General features: G+C 35.8%; 1 protein-coding gene and 1 pseudogene across 11 annotated transcripts in view; one reads left to right on the top strand and one right to left on the bottom strand.

The window, feature by feature from the left end:
- Window positions 1–17,707, top strand: part of EXOC6B (exocyst complex component 6B) — a 650,050-nt gene that overhangs the window by 102,158 nt on the left and 530,185 nt on the right. For all 11 annotated transcript variants that reach the window (NR_135774.2, NR_135773.2, XR_007071495.1 and 8 more), the window contains one exon: window positions 5,569–5,773. Coding sequence is in view for 8 of the 11 variants with exons in the window: in NM_001321734.2 (NP_001308663.1) it covers window positions 5,569–5,773 (205 nt within the window). In the remaining 3 variants the exon portion in view is untranslated. The remainder of the gene's footprint in view (window positions 1–5,568; window positions 5,774–17,707) is intronic.
- On the bottom strand, window positions 1,873–2,070 carry RNU2-39P (RNA, U2 small nuclear 39, pseudogene; annotated as a pseudogene).

Here is a 17,707-nt window from a genome sequence, read left to right as displayed (position 1 = left end):
TTGCCTGATGTCCAATGTCTGAAAATGGCTGTTTCATATATTTTTGCCAATATTCTACTTGTTTATAAAGTGAGAGATCATGTCTGTTCCTTGTTAGGCTTTCGTAGCTAGAAGTCTTTTTTTTTTTTTTTTTTAAGCTATAAATACTGATTTTTCTACTGCATTTTGTGCTCCCTAGGGAAAGACATCTGAACATCTTTCTATCTCTAGCGCACAGAAGAAATTACGTATTTGTTAATGATGCTCTTTGATTAGGAATGACACTAATATTTTTCTGTGATGAAAGTTTTTATTTCATATTTTATCATACTCTGAATTTTAAAAAATTTCTTATAGATAGTTGCAATTTGCTTTCAAGGATCACTTCCTAGAATTTTAGAAACCATCACTGTGAAAGAATTCCATGGTATGGCAAGAAAGTACCAAAATTTAATTTGCTTGGAATCAATATTCTTCTTCTTGCTTTAGCATTCAACCATGTCTGTTATTCTGATCATGGTTACTCAGTTTGTAGGATTATTTAGAACCTCTTTCCCTGCCTTCCTCCCTTTTATTCTCTGCTTTTATTTTCTTTACTTTAGTTCTGATTGCATCTCTGTTAAGGAGCCTGCATGAGAAGAGGGGAGAGAGTGACCACACATACAAGTGAAACTTAGGAATTTGCCTTTTGATTCAGTTTTAATAATGTTTGGAGATTGTCAAAAGTACATCAAAATCTAATTTTGGATTTCCGTGGTCACTGGACATATTTTTTTTCTTTTGGTGCCTGCTATACAGGTGTTAGTTGGCTATCATTCTTTAACCTGTCACGGATATTGAAATAGACTAGACATTTGAATATTACTGATTTGTTATAGTTAAAATGTGACTATACTGGGAAGGGAAAATGGGGAAATAGGGTGACATTCTTTGTTGCCAGGAATCACTGGGTTTTGTACTAATTAGCCTTGAAAAATGTGGAGCTATTTGACAGACCAGATGTTTTCAGCATGAGCCATGTGTCTCATCAGTGAATGTGCCTTGCGTCTGCAGACAACATTGTTGAATTTTCCTCATTCTATAAACAATGTTCCAAAATATAACTAAACCCCAAAGTGTGTTTATCTTTTTGGCTTAATTTTTGGCTTTCTATCCGTTCTAAAGTTTCTCTCTAGAGGAATTGCATTTTATTGCACATAGCTCTTCATACCTAATTGTAGTATAAACACCATTCTGTTTACACTAAACCATGTGAATTGTATTGTTTTTGAGCCTGTAAAATTTTAATAAGAGCAATGATTTCAGATTTAACTATATTTGTACTTTTATTTCTAAATTTAGGGGGAATAAAACTTTCTTCCCTCCATTTACTTAAACAAAGACTTTGATTTTTGGAACACATGAGGGAAAACATTAAAACAAAACAAAACAAAACAAAAAAACCAAGTAAAACCAGTCTCTAGTCTTTAGCATTTGTGGTACTAAATTCATTAGAGCAAGAAGAGTTTAAGTATCTGCTGTGAAAATCATTCTTAAAGTCCAAAATAGAGCTATAAGTCTTTTTTCTTTTTAAGGATGGAACTGAATTTTTCCTATACCAAATATATCATGGGAAACATGGAAATTAGGAAATTAAAAGTATGAAGGAGAAAATTATCTTGTAATATTGCCATCCAAAGGAAATTAGCTCGTAATATTGCCATCCAAAGGAAAAATATGCCTAACATTTTTGTATTTATTTTTCTCATTTTGCTCTCTACTTTTGTGTGTGTGTGTGTTTCCAGTGATATATATCTCATATATGCATACATGTTCATAATTTATATGTGTAAGTATTTATAATTTTGAAGAATATTATGATTATACTTGTAAGATCTTTTTTTTTTTTTTTTCAATTAGAGCACCATTCCTGGAGGTACTGCAATGCCAGGTTGATGCATGAAGTGGACTAAATAAGTTCCCATTTTATCTCCCTGCTGCAAAAATCCATTTAATAAATATTGTCCTCTGATAAGAGGATGTATCAGATATTAAACTGATAAGATATATCAGATATTAAATTTGATCTTAGCCAAAAGGCCAAGAGGCAATTAGATCTATTTTTTGAAATGATTTTCATTCAACAATATTGTAAACATTTTGCTATTTTATTAGCCTTTTACTACTTCTTATTAGACATCTAGGTTAGTTTTTTTATTTGCTAATATAAATAATTCTATAATTCAAGAGGCTTATACATACTGCTGTGCATCTTTTTTTTGTTTGGAAATGCAATTGCTTAAAATAGTTGTTTTGCTAAAATTCTTCATTGAAAACTTGTGTCATTAATAAAAACCTGTTTGTCAGCTGGCTGTGAATTCCATTATTGAAACCCCTGATGTATTACAAATTATTTTTTAAGAAATATTTGGCAATTTGATTTGCATTTTTTCACATATCAGTTAAACATTTTTTTTTTTTTTTCATATGTTGGCCCTTTTTGGTTCTTTTGTGAATTTTCTTTGTTCATTTTTTTTTTTTTTTTTTTTTTTTACAAAAACAACTCAAGTTTATTAACCTTTTTTCTTTGAGATGGCGTCTTACTCTATCACCCAGGCTGGAGTGCAGTGGTGTGATCTCAGCTCACTGCACCCTCCGTCTCCTAGGGTCAAGCAATTCTCCTGCTTCAGCCTCTTGAGTAGCTGGGATTATAGGCTCCCACCAACATGCCCGACTAATTTTTGTATTTTTAGTAGAGAAGAGGTTTCACCATGTTGCCTAGGCTTGTCTTGAACTCCTGACCGCAAGTGATCTGCCTGCCTCAGACTCCCAAAGTGCTGGAATTACAGGCATGAGCCACCACGCCTGGCCTATTAATCTTTTAGGTACACATTACAAATAAACGTTACCAGTTTTTCTCTTTATTCTTATGTTTTCTTTGCATAACTTATTTCGTTTCTACCTATTCAGCTTTATTAATCTTAATTTTATTTGTCCTTCTATGCTTATAGAAGCTTTCCTATTAGACAAATATCATCCCTTTTTTTTTTATGGAATGTCCCTCTGTGTTACTAGCAATATTTGTTGGCTTAAAGTCTTTTGTATCTCATATTAATACAGCCATTTCAGCTCTTTTGTGTTTCCTTTATTTTTTATTTTTATTTTTTGACGGGTCTCACTCTGTTACCCAGGCTAGAATGCAGTGGGCTGATCTCAGCTCACTGCAACCTCTGCCCACCCGGGTTTAAGTGATCCTCCCACCTCAGCTTCCCAAGTAGTTGGGACTACGGGTGCACGCCACCACACCTGGCTAATTTTTTTGTAATTTTTTTGGTAGAGATGAGGTTTTGCCTTGTTGCCCAGGCAGATCTCAAACTCCTGAGCTCAAGTGATCTGCCCACCTTGACCTCCCAAAGTGTTGGCATTATAGGTATGAGCCACTGTGCCCAGCCTTGTGGTTTCTTTTTTTTATGGCATATCTTCTTTCCTCTTTTACTTTCAACCTATTTGTATCTTTGAATCTAAGTGTGTTTCTTGTAGACAATATGTAGTTGGATCATGCTTTTTAAGTCCTGACAATGTTGGCCTTCCAATTGGAGTGCTTAGTCCATTCACATTTAATGTAATTATTGATATGGTTGGATTTTCTTCTTTGTTTTCTATTTTTCATGTCTTTTTTTGTTTTGTTTTTGTTGCTCCTTTACTGCTTTCTTTTGTGTTATATATTTTTAGTGTACTATTTGAATTCTTTTGTTGATTTTCAAATGATATATATTTTTGGTTTTTTAGAGGTTGTTCTATGGATTATAATATGCATCTTATCACAGTCTACTGGAGGTCACTGCTGCTATAAATTTGGTAAATATATAGCAGTAGTTTTGCTTCCATTAGCTCCATTTCTTTCCTACTCTTTTGTGCTGTTATTGTTAGATATATTACACTTAAATATTTTGTAAACCCAATGATACAGTGTTATAATCATTGCTTTAAAAAATCTTATCTTTTAAAGAAGTTAAGAAAAGAGAAAAAATACTTGTCTTTCATATTTAGCATGTATTTACTATTTCCCATGTTCTTTGTTTCTTTCTGTGAATTCAAGTTACCATCTGCTGTCATTTCCTTTCAGGCTTCCTTTAGTATTTCTTGTAAGGCAGGTCTGCTAGCAAGGAATTTTCTGTCTTTGTTTATCTAGCAAGGTATCATATTTCACTTTGATTTTTAAATAGTCATCAGCTAATGATTGGTTAGAGGTTATGCTCAAACAAACTTGAGTGAGTAAGGTTTCCAGTCTTTGCTAATGAGTTTGTATATGGGTTAGGGACTACATTAAAAGCAGTTTTAAAGTCAGCTTAAACTTTTACCTACCTTCTTAGGTTTCCCACGTGCCTGTCTACAGCCTCCTAGTCAGCCAGGGATGAGTGGATTGCTTAGACCCTTTTAGGTGTCGCCTGCAGGTATGCATAGCCTCTCAGCCGGCTAGCAACTTGCGGAGTTTATCAAGCCCTTCTGTAGGTCTTTTATTTTTATGACTTCCCCGTTAAATTTCTGATTAGTCCTTTGGTCTGTTGTTTGCCCCAACCCAAATTGTAACATTTGACCAGTAGAGCTGGAGACTTTTCTTAATTTATTTATTTATTTTTACTGAGTTTGCTACTTTCACTAACAGCATCTCTCAATATGAGTTTTTTGCCCTCTGCTCCAAATTGTGTCAGCCCCTCATCTCAGGAAAGCTGCTGGTTTTCATGACTAGCCATGGCCAATGACCAGGGGTGGAGGAATTAGAGGGGGAGGGTGTTGGAAGTAGCCCCAGGCAAGAAAGCTACAGAGTCCCACTGTTGAGCAGTTATTATGAATAAACACTTCTTGATTTGTTGTTCTCTTTTGTTTAGTTTCCAGAACCCTGAAATAGTTGTTTTGGATAGTTTACATTTGTTTTCTTTGGATAGAAGATTTGCCAAGCTTTTCTGTGTGCCATAGTTGGAAGTCTAGCCTTGGATACTTCATTTTATAGGATGAATTTTTTTTTGGCATTGAGACAATCATTCTTTATTTCCTTTTATTTCTCTTTTTTTAAGATTGAGTCTCACTTCGTCCTCTAGGCTGGAGTGCACTGGCGTGATCTTGGCTAACTGAAACCTCCGCCTCCGGGGTTCAAATGATTCTCATGCCTCAGCTTTCTGAGGTGGCTTGCGCCACCAGGCCTGGCTAATTTTTGTATTTTTAGTAGAGATGGGGTTTTACTGTGTTGACCCGGCTAGTCTCAAATTCCTGGCCTCAAGTGATCCACCTGTCTTGGCCTCCCAAAGTGCTGGGATTACAAGCATGATCCACCATGCCTGGCCCCTTTTATTTCTCTTATGTCATTAATTTTATTGGTAGCTATTTTAAATCTTATGCATTCTTTGGATAAAATCTTTTTTTGATTATAATTTCCTGGTCTTTTAAAGTATGTATTAGTTTTTAATAATTTGAGATTCTTTTCACTGATGTTCTCATTAAAACTTCATGCTGGATTTGTGTTAATGCACAGTGAAAACCAATTCAGGCTAGACATTTTGCCTAACCCTAAAGAAAACTGAGTGAGCTAAAGGTGATCAATTCCTTTTGTAGGCATTATCCTGCACTGAAAACTCTGGAACATCTAGAGCATACCTACCTGCCTCAAGTAAGCCACTATCGATTCTGCAAGGTGATGGTGGACAACATCCCCAAGCTTCGAGAAGAAATAAAAGATGTTTCTATGTCCGATCTCAAAGACTTTCTGGAGAGCATCCGCAAACATTCAGACAAAATTGGAGAGACTGCCATGAAGCAAGTAGGTCTTGGGTTTATGATAGGTTGGCCAGTGGCTTTATCAGTATTGAGTTAAACACAGGTTTCTCTTTGCCAAGTGTCTAGTCATTATCTTATCCAAGTTTCTTATCATTTTAGGGAAGTCCTTCATATTTATGGAAACATATGATTAAAAATGTTTTCATTTTTTTAACAGAGCAATGGACAATTTGCTCTGTAGATGTTCAGTAAATATTGATCAGTTGTGATGGTTTACATTGAGGTTATGAAGAAATTTTTCTACTGTTTGTATACTTCCCTTGACTTTGCATATAATTTGTAGCTTAAGATATTTTAAAGTTCTCCTTCTAGTTAATGACCTAAATTGTACTGCATGTGTCTTTGGCTGATTATTTACTACGTAAGCAAGATAGCATGTTATATATGCATATTTCTGATATTAATAGGTATCAGTGAAAAAAGGCCTATTAGGAAATGCTTTGAATTATGATCAAAGAAAAGGATTTATTAACAGCTTATATATTAAAAAATATGTTAGCAGTATATACATTTGTTAAAAAAATCTTCATTCCTAAGTCACCAAAGTCACAAGGAACATCTAAATTTCTTTTTTTAAATTATGAATGAAAGGTCAGTAATGTTTTATAATGGCATTTGCTCACTTGAAATTTGTCACATTGATTTTATTAAAAATTTTTAGTATACCTGATGATGTAGCCTACAGCAACAAATACAAGAGTCAGTTGTTTATGGAAAGTACTTTTTGGTTCTGTAAACAATAGTGTTCTTGAATAGATCATTTGTAGTTTTTATCATTCTGTGAGGAATGAGGGAATAGATTATATTTCAAATCATATTTTAGGTCTCGACTAGCCTTGATAATCTATTCAGATGTCTATTTGATCTATAATATCTATTTGATCCTCCAAAAGAGATTCTCCAGTTACCCTTTCCTCAGGGAATGCAGATATTTCCCTTTTCTTCCTTTAAATTTTGTCAGTGTTATACTTCACAAAGTGCAGAGTTTAAAACTAGATGATAAACCTGATAGAAATAATTATATGATTTCATTGCTTATAGTGATGGAGAAATAAAATTAATCAGTGACAATATACCTTAGCATTGCTGGGTACGTATTTTGAATACAGGAATGAAGCTATCTTCTAAGATAAGTCTTTATTGTGATTGGTTCAGTTTTTCCTAAGCTTTTAAAATATAGGAGAGTGTAGTACAAAGCCTCTATGGAAGTTGCCTTTTTAAAAATTGCTTTTTCTAGGCCTCTGCTTGAGAAATTAATTTACTTCCCTTTTGATGAAAGAAAGAGGAAGCCATGAAGAATATTACTTTATTTAACGTGAGGCCAGCTGGTCTCATTCCTTAATTATCTGAAGAAATTAAGACCCAGAGGAGGGAAGTAACTTGCCTCAAGTTCAAATACCTTGTAAAGGTCAGATCCTGCATTAGAATTCAGGTTGGGTTGAAATGAATTTGTCTACTATGGTACTCAATCTGTGTAAACTATTAGCTGTTTGCTATATTTTTGTCATATAAAGAAATGATGAAGAAATCTTTTGTGAATCCAGGACTTTTAATTAACTGAGAAATCTTCATTTCTCCTATAAAATATTTCATCTCAGGATCCTTGAGTAAAGATATGTTATGTTAACACATTAAAAAATCTTTTGTAGTACCGAGAGTGTAAGGAAGATAGGAGAGAGAAAATACCATGTACTTTGTACGTAGTAGGTGTTCAATAAATGTTTGAATTCCCAGATAAGAGGGAGAGGAAGTGGTTTATTTCTCACTGCCTCAAGCCCAAAATAGTGTTTCTGGTTTGTGATGGTTTTCTTTGCAATGGTGATTTAAGTACTTAGAATCCTTCCATTGTATGGCTCTTCCATCTTTAAGATGGCTTTGAAGATTGCTTCAGAAGGGGAAAGACCAAAGAGTGTTGCATGTGGGAGGGTCTTTAAGGGCCAGGCATGGATGCCACACATTACTTCTACCCATATTCTGTTGGTCTGAACTTAATTATATAGCCATACCTAGCTGTAAGAGAGGCTGGAAAATGTAATCTCACTCATTCTCTAACAGGAGGAGCAAATAGGTTTGATGAATAATAGCTAGTATCTGGCACAGTCTACCTTCTGGTCATCAAATATCTTTTCATTCTTTCTCTCATACATAGAACACACTCACTCCTTCCTTAGGGGGCAACAGTCCAATGGCCCATGTAGTCACTACATCCATTTCAAAATCTAGTATCTTCCAGGGATGCTCAACCCTCTCCATAAGATTCAGCCATGGTTCCTCATGAGCTGGTAACTACTCAACTAAAATTGCAAGTTATCTGCACTGGTGTCTCCTCCCACCCCCAATATACAATGAAGAAGCTAGAATAAAATAACTATAACAAAACCTTTCATTTAGAAAAGGGAAGAACCAGAGACAAACAATATTCTCTGCTTCATAACAAATCATATAATCTACTTAGGCAGGCCCCGTGAAGTTCCTCTGCTCTGGTAGTAGGGGAATTTCCTTGCTTAGACCTTGATTCCCTGGAAGGAACTCCTTTGCTCATTGTTCTCTTGAGCTCCTAGCTGCACGCTGGCTTTTCCTTGTTTTCATATATATATTTTATTTTTATATATTATATATATTTATGTACATATTTTATTTTTATATATTATATATATATTTTAAATGTATACTTCTGAAGTAGATGCTGGGAAATATACATTCCTTAGGAGGCATACTTCTCTTTCTCTCTTTATATCTATATATCTATATCTGCAATTGTGTCTACATTTACATTTATATATGTCTTTTACTGCCTGCTTTTTGCTTTTTGCCTGAGGGTTGGTTTAAGGTTCTGAACAAACGTTTATTTTAATTTTTTTAGACGGAGTCTCACTCTGTCACTAGGCTGGAGTGCATTGGTGCAATCTCGGCTCACTGCAAGCTCTGCCTCTCGGGTTCAAGTGATTCTCCTGCCTCAGCCTCCCTAGTTTTCTGTATTTTTAGTAGAGACGGGGCTTCACCATGTTGGCCAGGATGGTCTCGATCTCTTGACCTCGTGATCCACCCGCCTCGGCCTCCCAAAGTGCTAGGATTACAGGCATGAGCCACTGTGCCTGGCACAAACGTTTATTAAAATTTAGTCCACATTTGTGTTTTTTTGACATTATCATTCCCTCAAAATGTAGTAGGCATCTCATCTTTTTCTTTCCAATAGGTTCTGTGCAGACACCATACCCACTGTTCTTCCCTAAATATAATTTTCAAGAATTATTTTATTTTTCTTCTCCTCTCTTTGGGAAAGTAGTGGAGGTTGGGGAGCATAGCCCTTGCTTCATGCTTCTTTCTCAGTTTGATGGCCTTACATTGAGGTGATGTGAAACAGTGGGTGGTAAGATCATGCTTGAATCTGATCTCTGCCTTAGAGTTGAGTCACTTTGTTGAACTAGAAGCCTTCTTGGGACTTCATTGCATAAGCCTTTACTATTTTTTTTTTCTCATATTGTTTAAGATCTGTATGTGTTCACCTTTCTAACTCTGTGAGGCCTAAGTTTCTGGGACTACTTCTTTCCCTATAAATTCAGTCTGCAAATGAGCTAATACTTTTCTGAGCTTATCGTTTTTATGCACTACCTTGCCAAAAGCAGAAAGCGAATACCAGTGTACACTATAACTCTTACTCTTTATTCACTTATAGTGCAACAGGCCCAGTAGGGATGTGGTATGCCTATTCACTTATTATAGGTTCCAATTTTACCAGTTGTTTTGCCACAGTATTATAGGGCTTTTCAGCCTTTTAACTTGTTAAATATATGTTCTTACTGCCCACTGCCTGACCACTAAACCCATGTCTTTTATTTTAGATTTTTTTGTTGGGGGCAACACCATATTTCCAACACCTGTTTCTGTATTCATTAAATAATGTTCCCTGCTATAACAGACAAACTCTAAAATCTAATAATAGAAATTTTATGTTTTGCTTATGTAAATACCAAAGTGCATGTCCCTGGTGGGTGACTCTCAAGAGATCTAGGACTCTTCCACCTTGTGGCTTTCAAGGGTACCACAGAAGGGGAAAGAGAGTAAGTAATGCCTGGAGGTTTTTTAGGGATCAAGCTTATAAGTGGCACATCTCACTTCTGCCAATATTATATTGGCCAGAGGTCAATCACTGCAAAGGAGGCTTGGAAATATACTCTAGCTATGTGATCAGGAGGAAGAAGAAATAGGTTTGATGAATAGCTAAGCTAGTCTCTGCTATAACCTGCTATCATATAGCCTAGAAAGATAAATATCTTCCACGTCTCTTGCTTTTTCTTCACAATCTTATCTTTTCATCATTTTTCCCTGTGTGTTTGCCTTCTAATTTACTAATTCAGTTTTTAGCTTTGTCATTGCTGCTATTTAGAACTTTGTTATTATTTTTAGTCTGACAATCACAGTATTGGCTTTAAAGAATTTGTTCTTCACATGGACACAGGAAGGGGAACATCACACTCTGGGGACTGTTGTGGGGTGGGGGGACGGGGGAGGGATAGCTTTAGGAGATATACCTAATGCTAAATGACGAGTTAATGGGTGCAGCACACCAGCATGGCACATGTATACATATGTAACTAACCTGCACATTGTGCACGTGTACCCTAAAACTTAAAGTATAATAATAATAAAAGAAAAAAAAAAGAATTTGTTCTTGTTCTTATATTCCTCCTGTATCATGGTAACTTCTTTTTCCAAACATTTCTAAGTATGCTTCTTTAGAATTGTACTGAGAAAACAGACTTGAAAGTCTTACTTAATATTGACAGTTGGTCTGGGCTCTTCTAGAAATTATGTAGGTGAGTGCTTTTTCTTGGTGAACATCCCTCTTTTTATTCTTCTACCCAATGTGTCCTGAGTTGCTGCAGTGATCCATGGGTGGACTTTGTCCTTGATAGTGTGGAGCCAGGTTGGTACATAGGCTTCTTTTTGGGATATATCAGCCAAAACATCACTAAAGGGTTCTACCCTAATTAAACTTCAATGAGTAAATTAATCTCTAATAAAGTTATCTGAGATTATAATCTCAAACTGTTTGTTGTTCAATTTTATTAAAAGATAAAACACAAAAAATACTATTTGAGGATCCTCTGAAGCATATGTGGCTTATGCATTCTTTTGTATGCAAGGTTTTATATAGAACTTTATCACTAGGAAGCTCTTTTTCTTTAATTGCATGTGGTTTAAAATCTAAAGGTCTTTAGATAGAACTTTATCACTAGGAAGCTCTTTTTCTTTAATTGCATGTGTTAAACAGAATTCTAAAATGTCCTCCAGGATTCTTGCCACCTTGTATGTACATCCAATAAAATCACTTTTTCTTGAGAGAGTGGGCTTGATCTAATCAGGGGAGATCCTTTAAAAGAGGGCCAGGAGGTCAGAGATAGAAGATGTTAGAAAGATTCAGTGCTCCAGCAGATACTCTACTGTTGGTCTTGAAGAAACAAAGTGCCATTTTTGGAGAAGGCCACATGGCAGGAAACTGTAGGCAGCCTTGAGTTGCTGTAAATGATCCCCACCTGACAGCCAGCAAGAAAATGGGGACTTTGGTCCTACAACCACAAGGAACTGAATTCTGCCAACAACCTTAATAGCTTAAAAGAGGACTCTGAGCTCCAGGTGAGAGAGACCACAGCAATGGTTGACACCATGATTTCAGCCTGGTGAGACTCTGAACAAAGGACCCAGACCCAGTAGTAATACTGGCATTCTGAACTCCTGATCCATGAGTTAACTCTGAGACAGTAATTGTGTGTGGCTTTAAGTTGCTAAATTTATAGCAGTTTGTTACCCAGGAAAAGAAAACTAATACACTCTATTATTTTGGCCTCAAATAGAATTACTTTAAAAAAATTGTACATTGATATATTGCCTTTGGATCTAGGAAACAATTGTATAGTCTTGTTTAAAATGGTGTCTAGCTAGAAGTCTCTCAGTCTTCTGTCTTTCTTCCAATATACCTGGGAAGCTGCAGAAAAATAAGAAAATGTACAAGGTCAATCATTTAGCGAATCTGAGGAGGAGTTTCAAAATTGTCCATTTTACTGTTAGTACTGTACAGTAGTCCACCCTTATTTATGGTTTTACTTTTCATGGTTTCAGTTATCCAGAGTCAACTGCAGTTCAAAAATATTAAATGGAAAATTCCAGAAATAATTCATAAACTTCAAGTTGTTCACTGGAGTAGTGTGATGAAATCTCCTGTTCTGTCCCACCTGACAGAATCACCCCTTGGTCCAGCGTATCCATGCTGTATATACTACCTGCCCTATCCACCTGTTAGTCACTTAGTAACCCTCTTGGTTATCAGATTTACTGTGGGTATTGACTGCTTGTGTTCAAGCAGCCCTTATTTTACTTAATAATGGCTCCAAAGTGCAAGAGTAATGATACTGGCATATGGTTATAATTGTTCTATTTTATCATTTATTATTATTTATTGTGGTTAATCTCTTCCTGTGCTTAGTTTATAAATTAAACTTTGTCATAGGTATATACAGTTATATAGGGCATGGTACTATCCATGGTTTCAGGGATATATGGGGGAACTTGGAACATATCTTCTGTGGATAAGAGGTTGGCGGGCTACTGTAGTGAATTTTAAGTTAAGCAGTCATATTTTTATTTTCAACAAATCTTTTAGGTTCTTACATTGCGTTTGTTGTTGTCATTTTGTTTTTAACATAGAAGTAGATTGAAGCATTTAGTGGACATACATGTAGGTTCTGCCGTGTGAAATAGAGCCATCTTTAGAGCAGTAGAAAACCCCTCCATTTTATCCTATTCCATTTTCTGTGTTGATCTTCTTCCTGTGTGTTTCCAAAATGCTGTGTATATCTTATTTTGGAACAGTGACTTTAGTTTGAAGTGATTTAAAAAAAAAATCCTCAAAAAGTTCTGTTAATTGTCGACTGTTTTCTAGTTTTCCTTTTGAAATTTATTTCTGGATTTCACTTATTATGGAATTGATTTGTACAGGAGAGAAGATCTGTATTTCTTATTTTGATTAGTTTGCTTTAGGCTTTGTGGGACTAAATAACATTTGTAATGTAATCATTCTTGTCTAGGCTGATTTCTGTGTGAGCCTTTTAACAAGGGGAAGGATTTATTTACTTTTACAATTCTAACTTGCCTTTGCCAGATTATATGGGTTATGTAACTGATTTAAGGAAATGAACTAATTGCCTATAAAAGATATTGAAGGCTCCTAGGCATTATTCCTTGAGTAAATGGTTTTAAAAGAACTGACCCTTGGGTAAGATTAGTTGTCATCATGGTCCTTTCAAACCTTTGCTTTCTGTGGTTAAGTCTTCACTACAGCAAAATTTACTCTTTAATGTATGGTGTAGAACATCTTTTGACTTAGATCTGGCACAGTACTATTGACTGAGTTCACATAGACCATGTATTCACCACCACGTAAAAGTATTGTTGAAGCCTCTTGTATGCTAGATATTATGCAAAACATGCACAGAGTGTGGTCTCTGTAGTCAAAGAAGTTGGTCTGGTGTTCCTGGATTTACTTTCTTTTCTCTTTTCTTCTTGATTTTGATATTTGTATATTTGTACCAATTTTTGCTTCTTACTCTTTTGCCTAAATGAATGGTCTGGGGTAAGGTGGGATCTCATTTTTAAACATTTTTTTTTTCTGCTTGCCTTAAAAAATTACTTGTATTACATATGCTTCTGAAATATTTTGAACCTGACTTCAGTGAAAAAGCACACATATATGACCATTAAATTTAAAAGATCAGTGTCTCTTTACTGATATTGAGTTGGGGTGAGAGAAGAGAAATAATTTATTCCTTAAATCTAATTTATTTATTTTTTGTTCATTTAACTTGTTTTTTGGCTCCCCACAGAAAGCAATATTTTTAAAATCTAGTTTAAAGACAGTATGGCAGTTTGGTTCCTGTTCTTTAGGGTAAAAAGTAACTTGGCCAGGTGCGGTGGCTCACACCTGGTGAAACCCCGTCTCTATTAAAAATACAAAAAATTAGCTGGGCACGGTGGTGGTACCAATTGTTCACAACTCCATTTTCTTATTGAACAATTGCAACTACATCTCTCTGTGAGTATTTTTAAATAAACTTATTTTGGACAGTATGAGCTTTGGGAAGGGAATTTATGTATATGACTTTAAAAGATTTTCCTTATTGTTTTCAGATTTCAATGTTAACAAATAGTTTTTTTTTAAAGCTATATTTTCAGTGATGGCTTTAATGTCAGTGAGAAACCAAACCCTATATTGGTTCTCATAAGCAATCTAAACCGTAGAAATTTATGAGACTTAAATGCATCTTTTTATTTTATTCTTAGAAATTTGATTTTGGTCTTGAAGTGGCAGGTCCAAAATACAAAAACAAAGATTAGAAAAAAGAAATTAAAAAAAAGAAATTTAATTTTGGGCTCTTGGCCTTTCTATAGTCTCTTCAAATAATTTCATGAGCCTGGTGATTGTGTTTCTCAGTTACGTGGTTAAGCTATACATTGAGTTCAGTATTTTGTCATCTTCCTCTGTGCTGATACTTACTTCTTGATATGAACAATTGAGTTTACTGGTGGCTGTAGTTTCTTTTCAGCAACCCTCGACCCCTGCCACGTGTGCAGAATGTAGTGAAGCCAAGTTTGAGGTTTGGATCTAGAGCCCTCCAACAATCCCTGCGATGTGCCCTCCAACCTGGGGGATAGATCTTCCTGGCCCTGGAGAAACCCAGTTGAGAATTCATAGGATTGTTGTGCTCTCAGCAAGTGCTTTAGTCTTGTCCTCTGGCAGATGTTTTCTTTACTGGGCGTGAAAACCCCATCAAAATAATGCTAAGGGAACTGAAATATAGAGAAATACAAATAAGCAAAGAAGAAGAAATATTCAAAATGTTCAGGATGGCCAAAGCAATAGACTTAAGGATGATCTAGAAGAGAGAGAAATCTAGCTGACTTGTGTTTTCTCACATCCTTCTACATCTTGAGAAGAAGTTTTAGCAAATAACCCTAAAGTAGTTTTTTTTTTTAAATTTTAATTATAAGCTGTACTTGGTGGCTGATGTCTATAATCCCAGCACTTTGGAGGCTGAGGTGGGAAGATCACTTGAGGCCAGGAATTTGAGATTAGTGTGGGCAACATAGTAAGACTTTGTCTCTACAAAAAAAAAAAAAAAAAAAAAAAAAAAATTAGCTGGATGTGGTGGCACAAGCCTGTAACCCCAGCTACTCAGGAGGCTGAGGAAGGAGGATGGGTTGAGCCCAGGAGTTTGAGGCTGCAGTGAGCTGTGATTGCAGCAGTGTAGTCCAGCCTGGGTGACAGAGCAAGAATCTGTCTGTGAAAATTTTTTAATTTAAATTACGTATAGTAAAGTTCACTTTTCTTTGGTGTATATGAATTTTAAAACATGTATAGACTCATATAACCACTACTGCAAACAGGATGCAGAGAATAATTCTATCACCTTCCAAAATTCCTTTATACTACTCTTTGTAGTTAAACCTTCCTTTCATTTATAACCCCTGGCAATGACTGATCTGTGTTCTCCACCTCCATTGTTTTGGCTTTTCTAGAATATTGTATAAATGGAATATTATGGGTAAATGCAACTGTTTAGTATCTTGATTAGGGTGGTGATTGCACAACTGTATGCATTTGTCAAAACTCGTATAACTGTGTACACAAATGTAAATTTTACTGCATGTAAATTAAGGTTTCCATCAGCTTAAAGTTCTGTTACTAAAAGATCATCCTGGAATATATGAAGGTTTATGAGTGTTTTAATAATATTTTGAACTGTGCAGGATTGTGGTTCCACTATCCTAACATGTCATTGCTATTTTTCCATGTCCTTTCCCTATCTATTGTTTATATGTTTGCCTTTCCTTGTGTGAGTTTCTATCATGTATATTATTGGGAACTTGATTTTTTCCATAAAAGGTTTGAACTCTTTATACAATAGAGACTTTTATTTTGTTTCAGGAGGTTAATATTTCCCTAGTCTGGGTTTTATTTTCTAAATTTTTTTTTTGAAAATTTAATATTTTGTAGAGTCAAGTGTATTGATCCATTGTGAATTCTTTCAGCACATTTCCAAAAGAAAAACACATGCATGTTGTTTGTTTTTATCCTTTCAATATGTTTTTATCCTTTCAATAACTATTTTATTTCTTCCTTTTATCTGCTATATATTTCTTTTCCTCTATAGCATTAATGTCTCTTTCTCACCTAATCTTGATTAGCTCACTCACTCATTCATGAAATATGTATTGAGTATTTATAATATGTAAAATACTATGGTAGGCATTATGGTATTCAAGGCAGAAACACATTGTCCTAAAGGAACTTTGTTTTCTAATGAAAAATGAAAAATAGGCTGGGTGCGGTGGCTCACACCTGTAATCCCAGCACTTTGGGAGGCTGAGGCAGGTGGATCACGAGGTCAGGAGTTCAAGACCATCCTGGCCAAGATGGTGAAACTCAGTCTCTACTAAAAATACAAAAATTAGCTGGGCGTGATGGCTGGCACCTGTAATCCCAGCTACTCGGGAGGCTGAGGCAGGAGAATCGCTTGAACCTGGGAGGCGGAGGTTGCAGTGAGCTGAGATCACACCACTGCACTCTAGCCTGGGTGACAGAGCAAGACTCTGTCTCAAAAAAAAAAAAGAAAAGAAAAATGACAAATATACATGAATAATAGGACTATAAGGTAGAAAATGATAAGTGCCATGGAAGAAATAAAGATAAAATGTTAGGAGAATTTAGAAGGATGAGAAATCTCATATAAAGCTGTGTAAGATATTCCAGGTTTAATAATAAGGTGCATTTGAATTAAATTTGGATATATAATGTTCCAGTTACTATTTCTGCATTACAAATTATCATAAAACTTAGTAGCTAAAAACACCAATGATTTTATTATGCTTGTAAAATCTGTGGGTCAGGAATTTGGTAAGGGCACAGTGAAGATGATTTGACTCTGTCCCCAAGACGTCTGGGGTATCAGCTGGGATGATTTTAAGGCTGAGACGGGCTTAGGCTTGAGAGCTGGAAGGGGGCCCCTTCATTCACAACTCTGGCACCTTTGTTGGGATGGTTTAAAGACTAGATTTGCTGACTTGAGTGCTTACATGTGACTTTTCCTCACAGCATGGAAATATCACTATGGTTGAACTTCTTATGGGCTCCAAGCACAAAGTGGAAGCTTTATCACTTTATTTGACCTAGCCTTGGAAGTCGTGTTATAGTGGTCAAAGCAATTGCAAGACAGCTATACTCAAGGGAAGGGGTCATAGACACCTATCTCTTGATAGGATGAGTGTCAAAGAATTTTGTGGCTGTTTTTAAAAATCCATTCCACGAGGCCATAGTCTGAATGTCGTCCTAGGCTAAAAGTAATGTAATGATAACAAAGTACAGAAAAGTAAAAATCTCTGAGAGATAATCCAAGGCAGAGTTTCAGCTGATGATAGTTACCCAAAAGAAATAAAGCAGGTTAGCCTGGACAACATAGTGAGACCCTGTCTCTAAAAAAAACAAAAAAAATATTATCTGGGTGTAGTGGCACATGCCTGCAGTCCCAGCTACTTGGAAGGCTGAGGCAGGAGGATCGCTTTGAGCCCAGGAGATGGAGACTGCAGTAAGCTATGGTTGCACCCACTGCACTGCCGCTGGGGTGACAGAGTGAGACCTTGTCTTCAAAAAAGAAGGCAAGTTAACCTTTCAACCAGACAATTACATTCCTTATGTCCTCTTGTCCCAGCCTCCTGACCATGACACACACACCTTTCAGCTGGTTTTTTTTGGCGGGGTGAATGACTCTGGGAAAGTATTTCATTGGAAAGTGATTATTCTCCTCCAGAAATCTGTTCACAAGTGTCTTCTTGTGAATATCATGTGTATCTATCTGTCTTGTTT

The sequence above is a fragment of the Homo sapiens genome, chromosome 2 (assembly GCF_000001405.40).
Source record: "Homo sapiens chromosome 2, GRCh38.p14 Primary Assembly".
NCBI lineage: Eukaryota > Metazoa > Chordata > Mammalia > Primates > Hominidae > Homo > Homo sapiens.
This window is presented reverse-complemented; position numbering and strand designations above follow the sequence as displayed.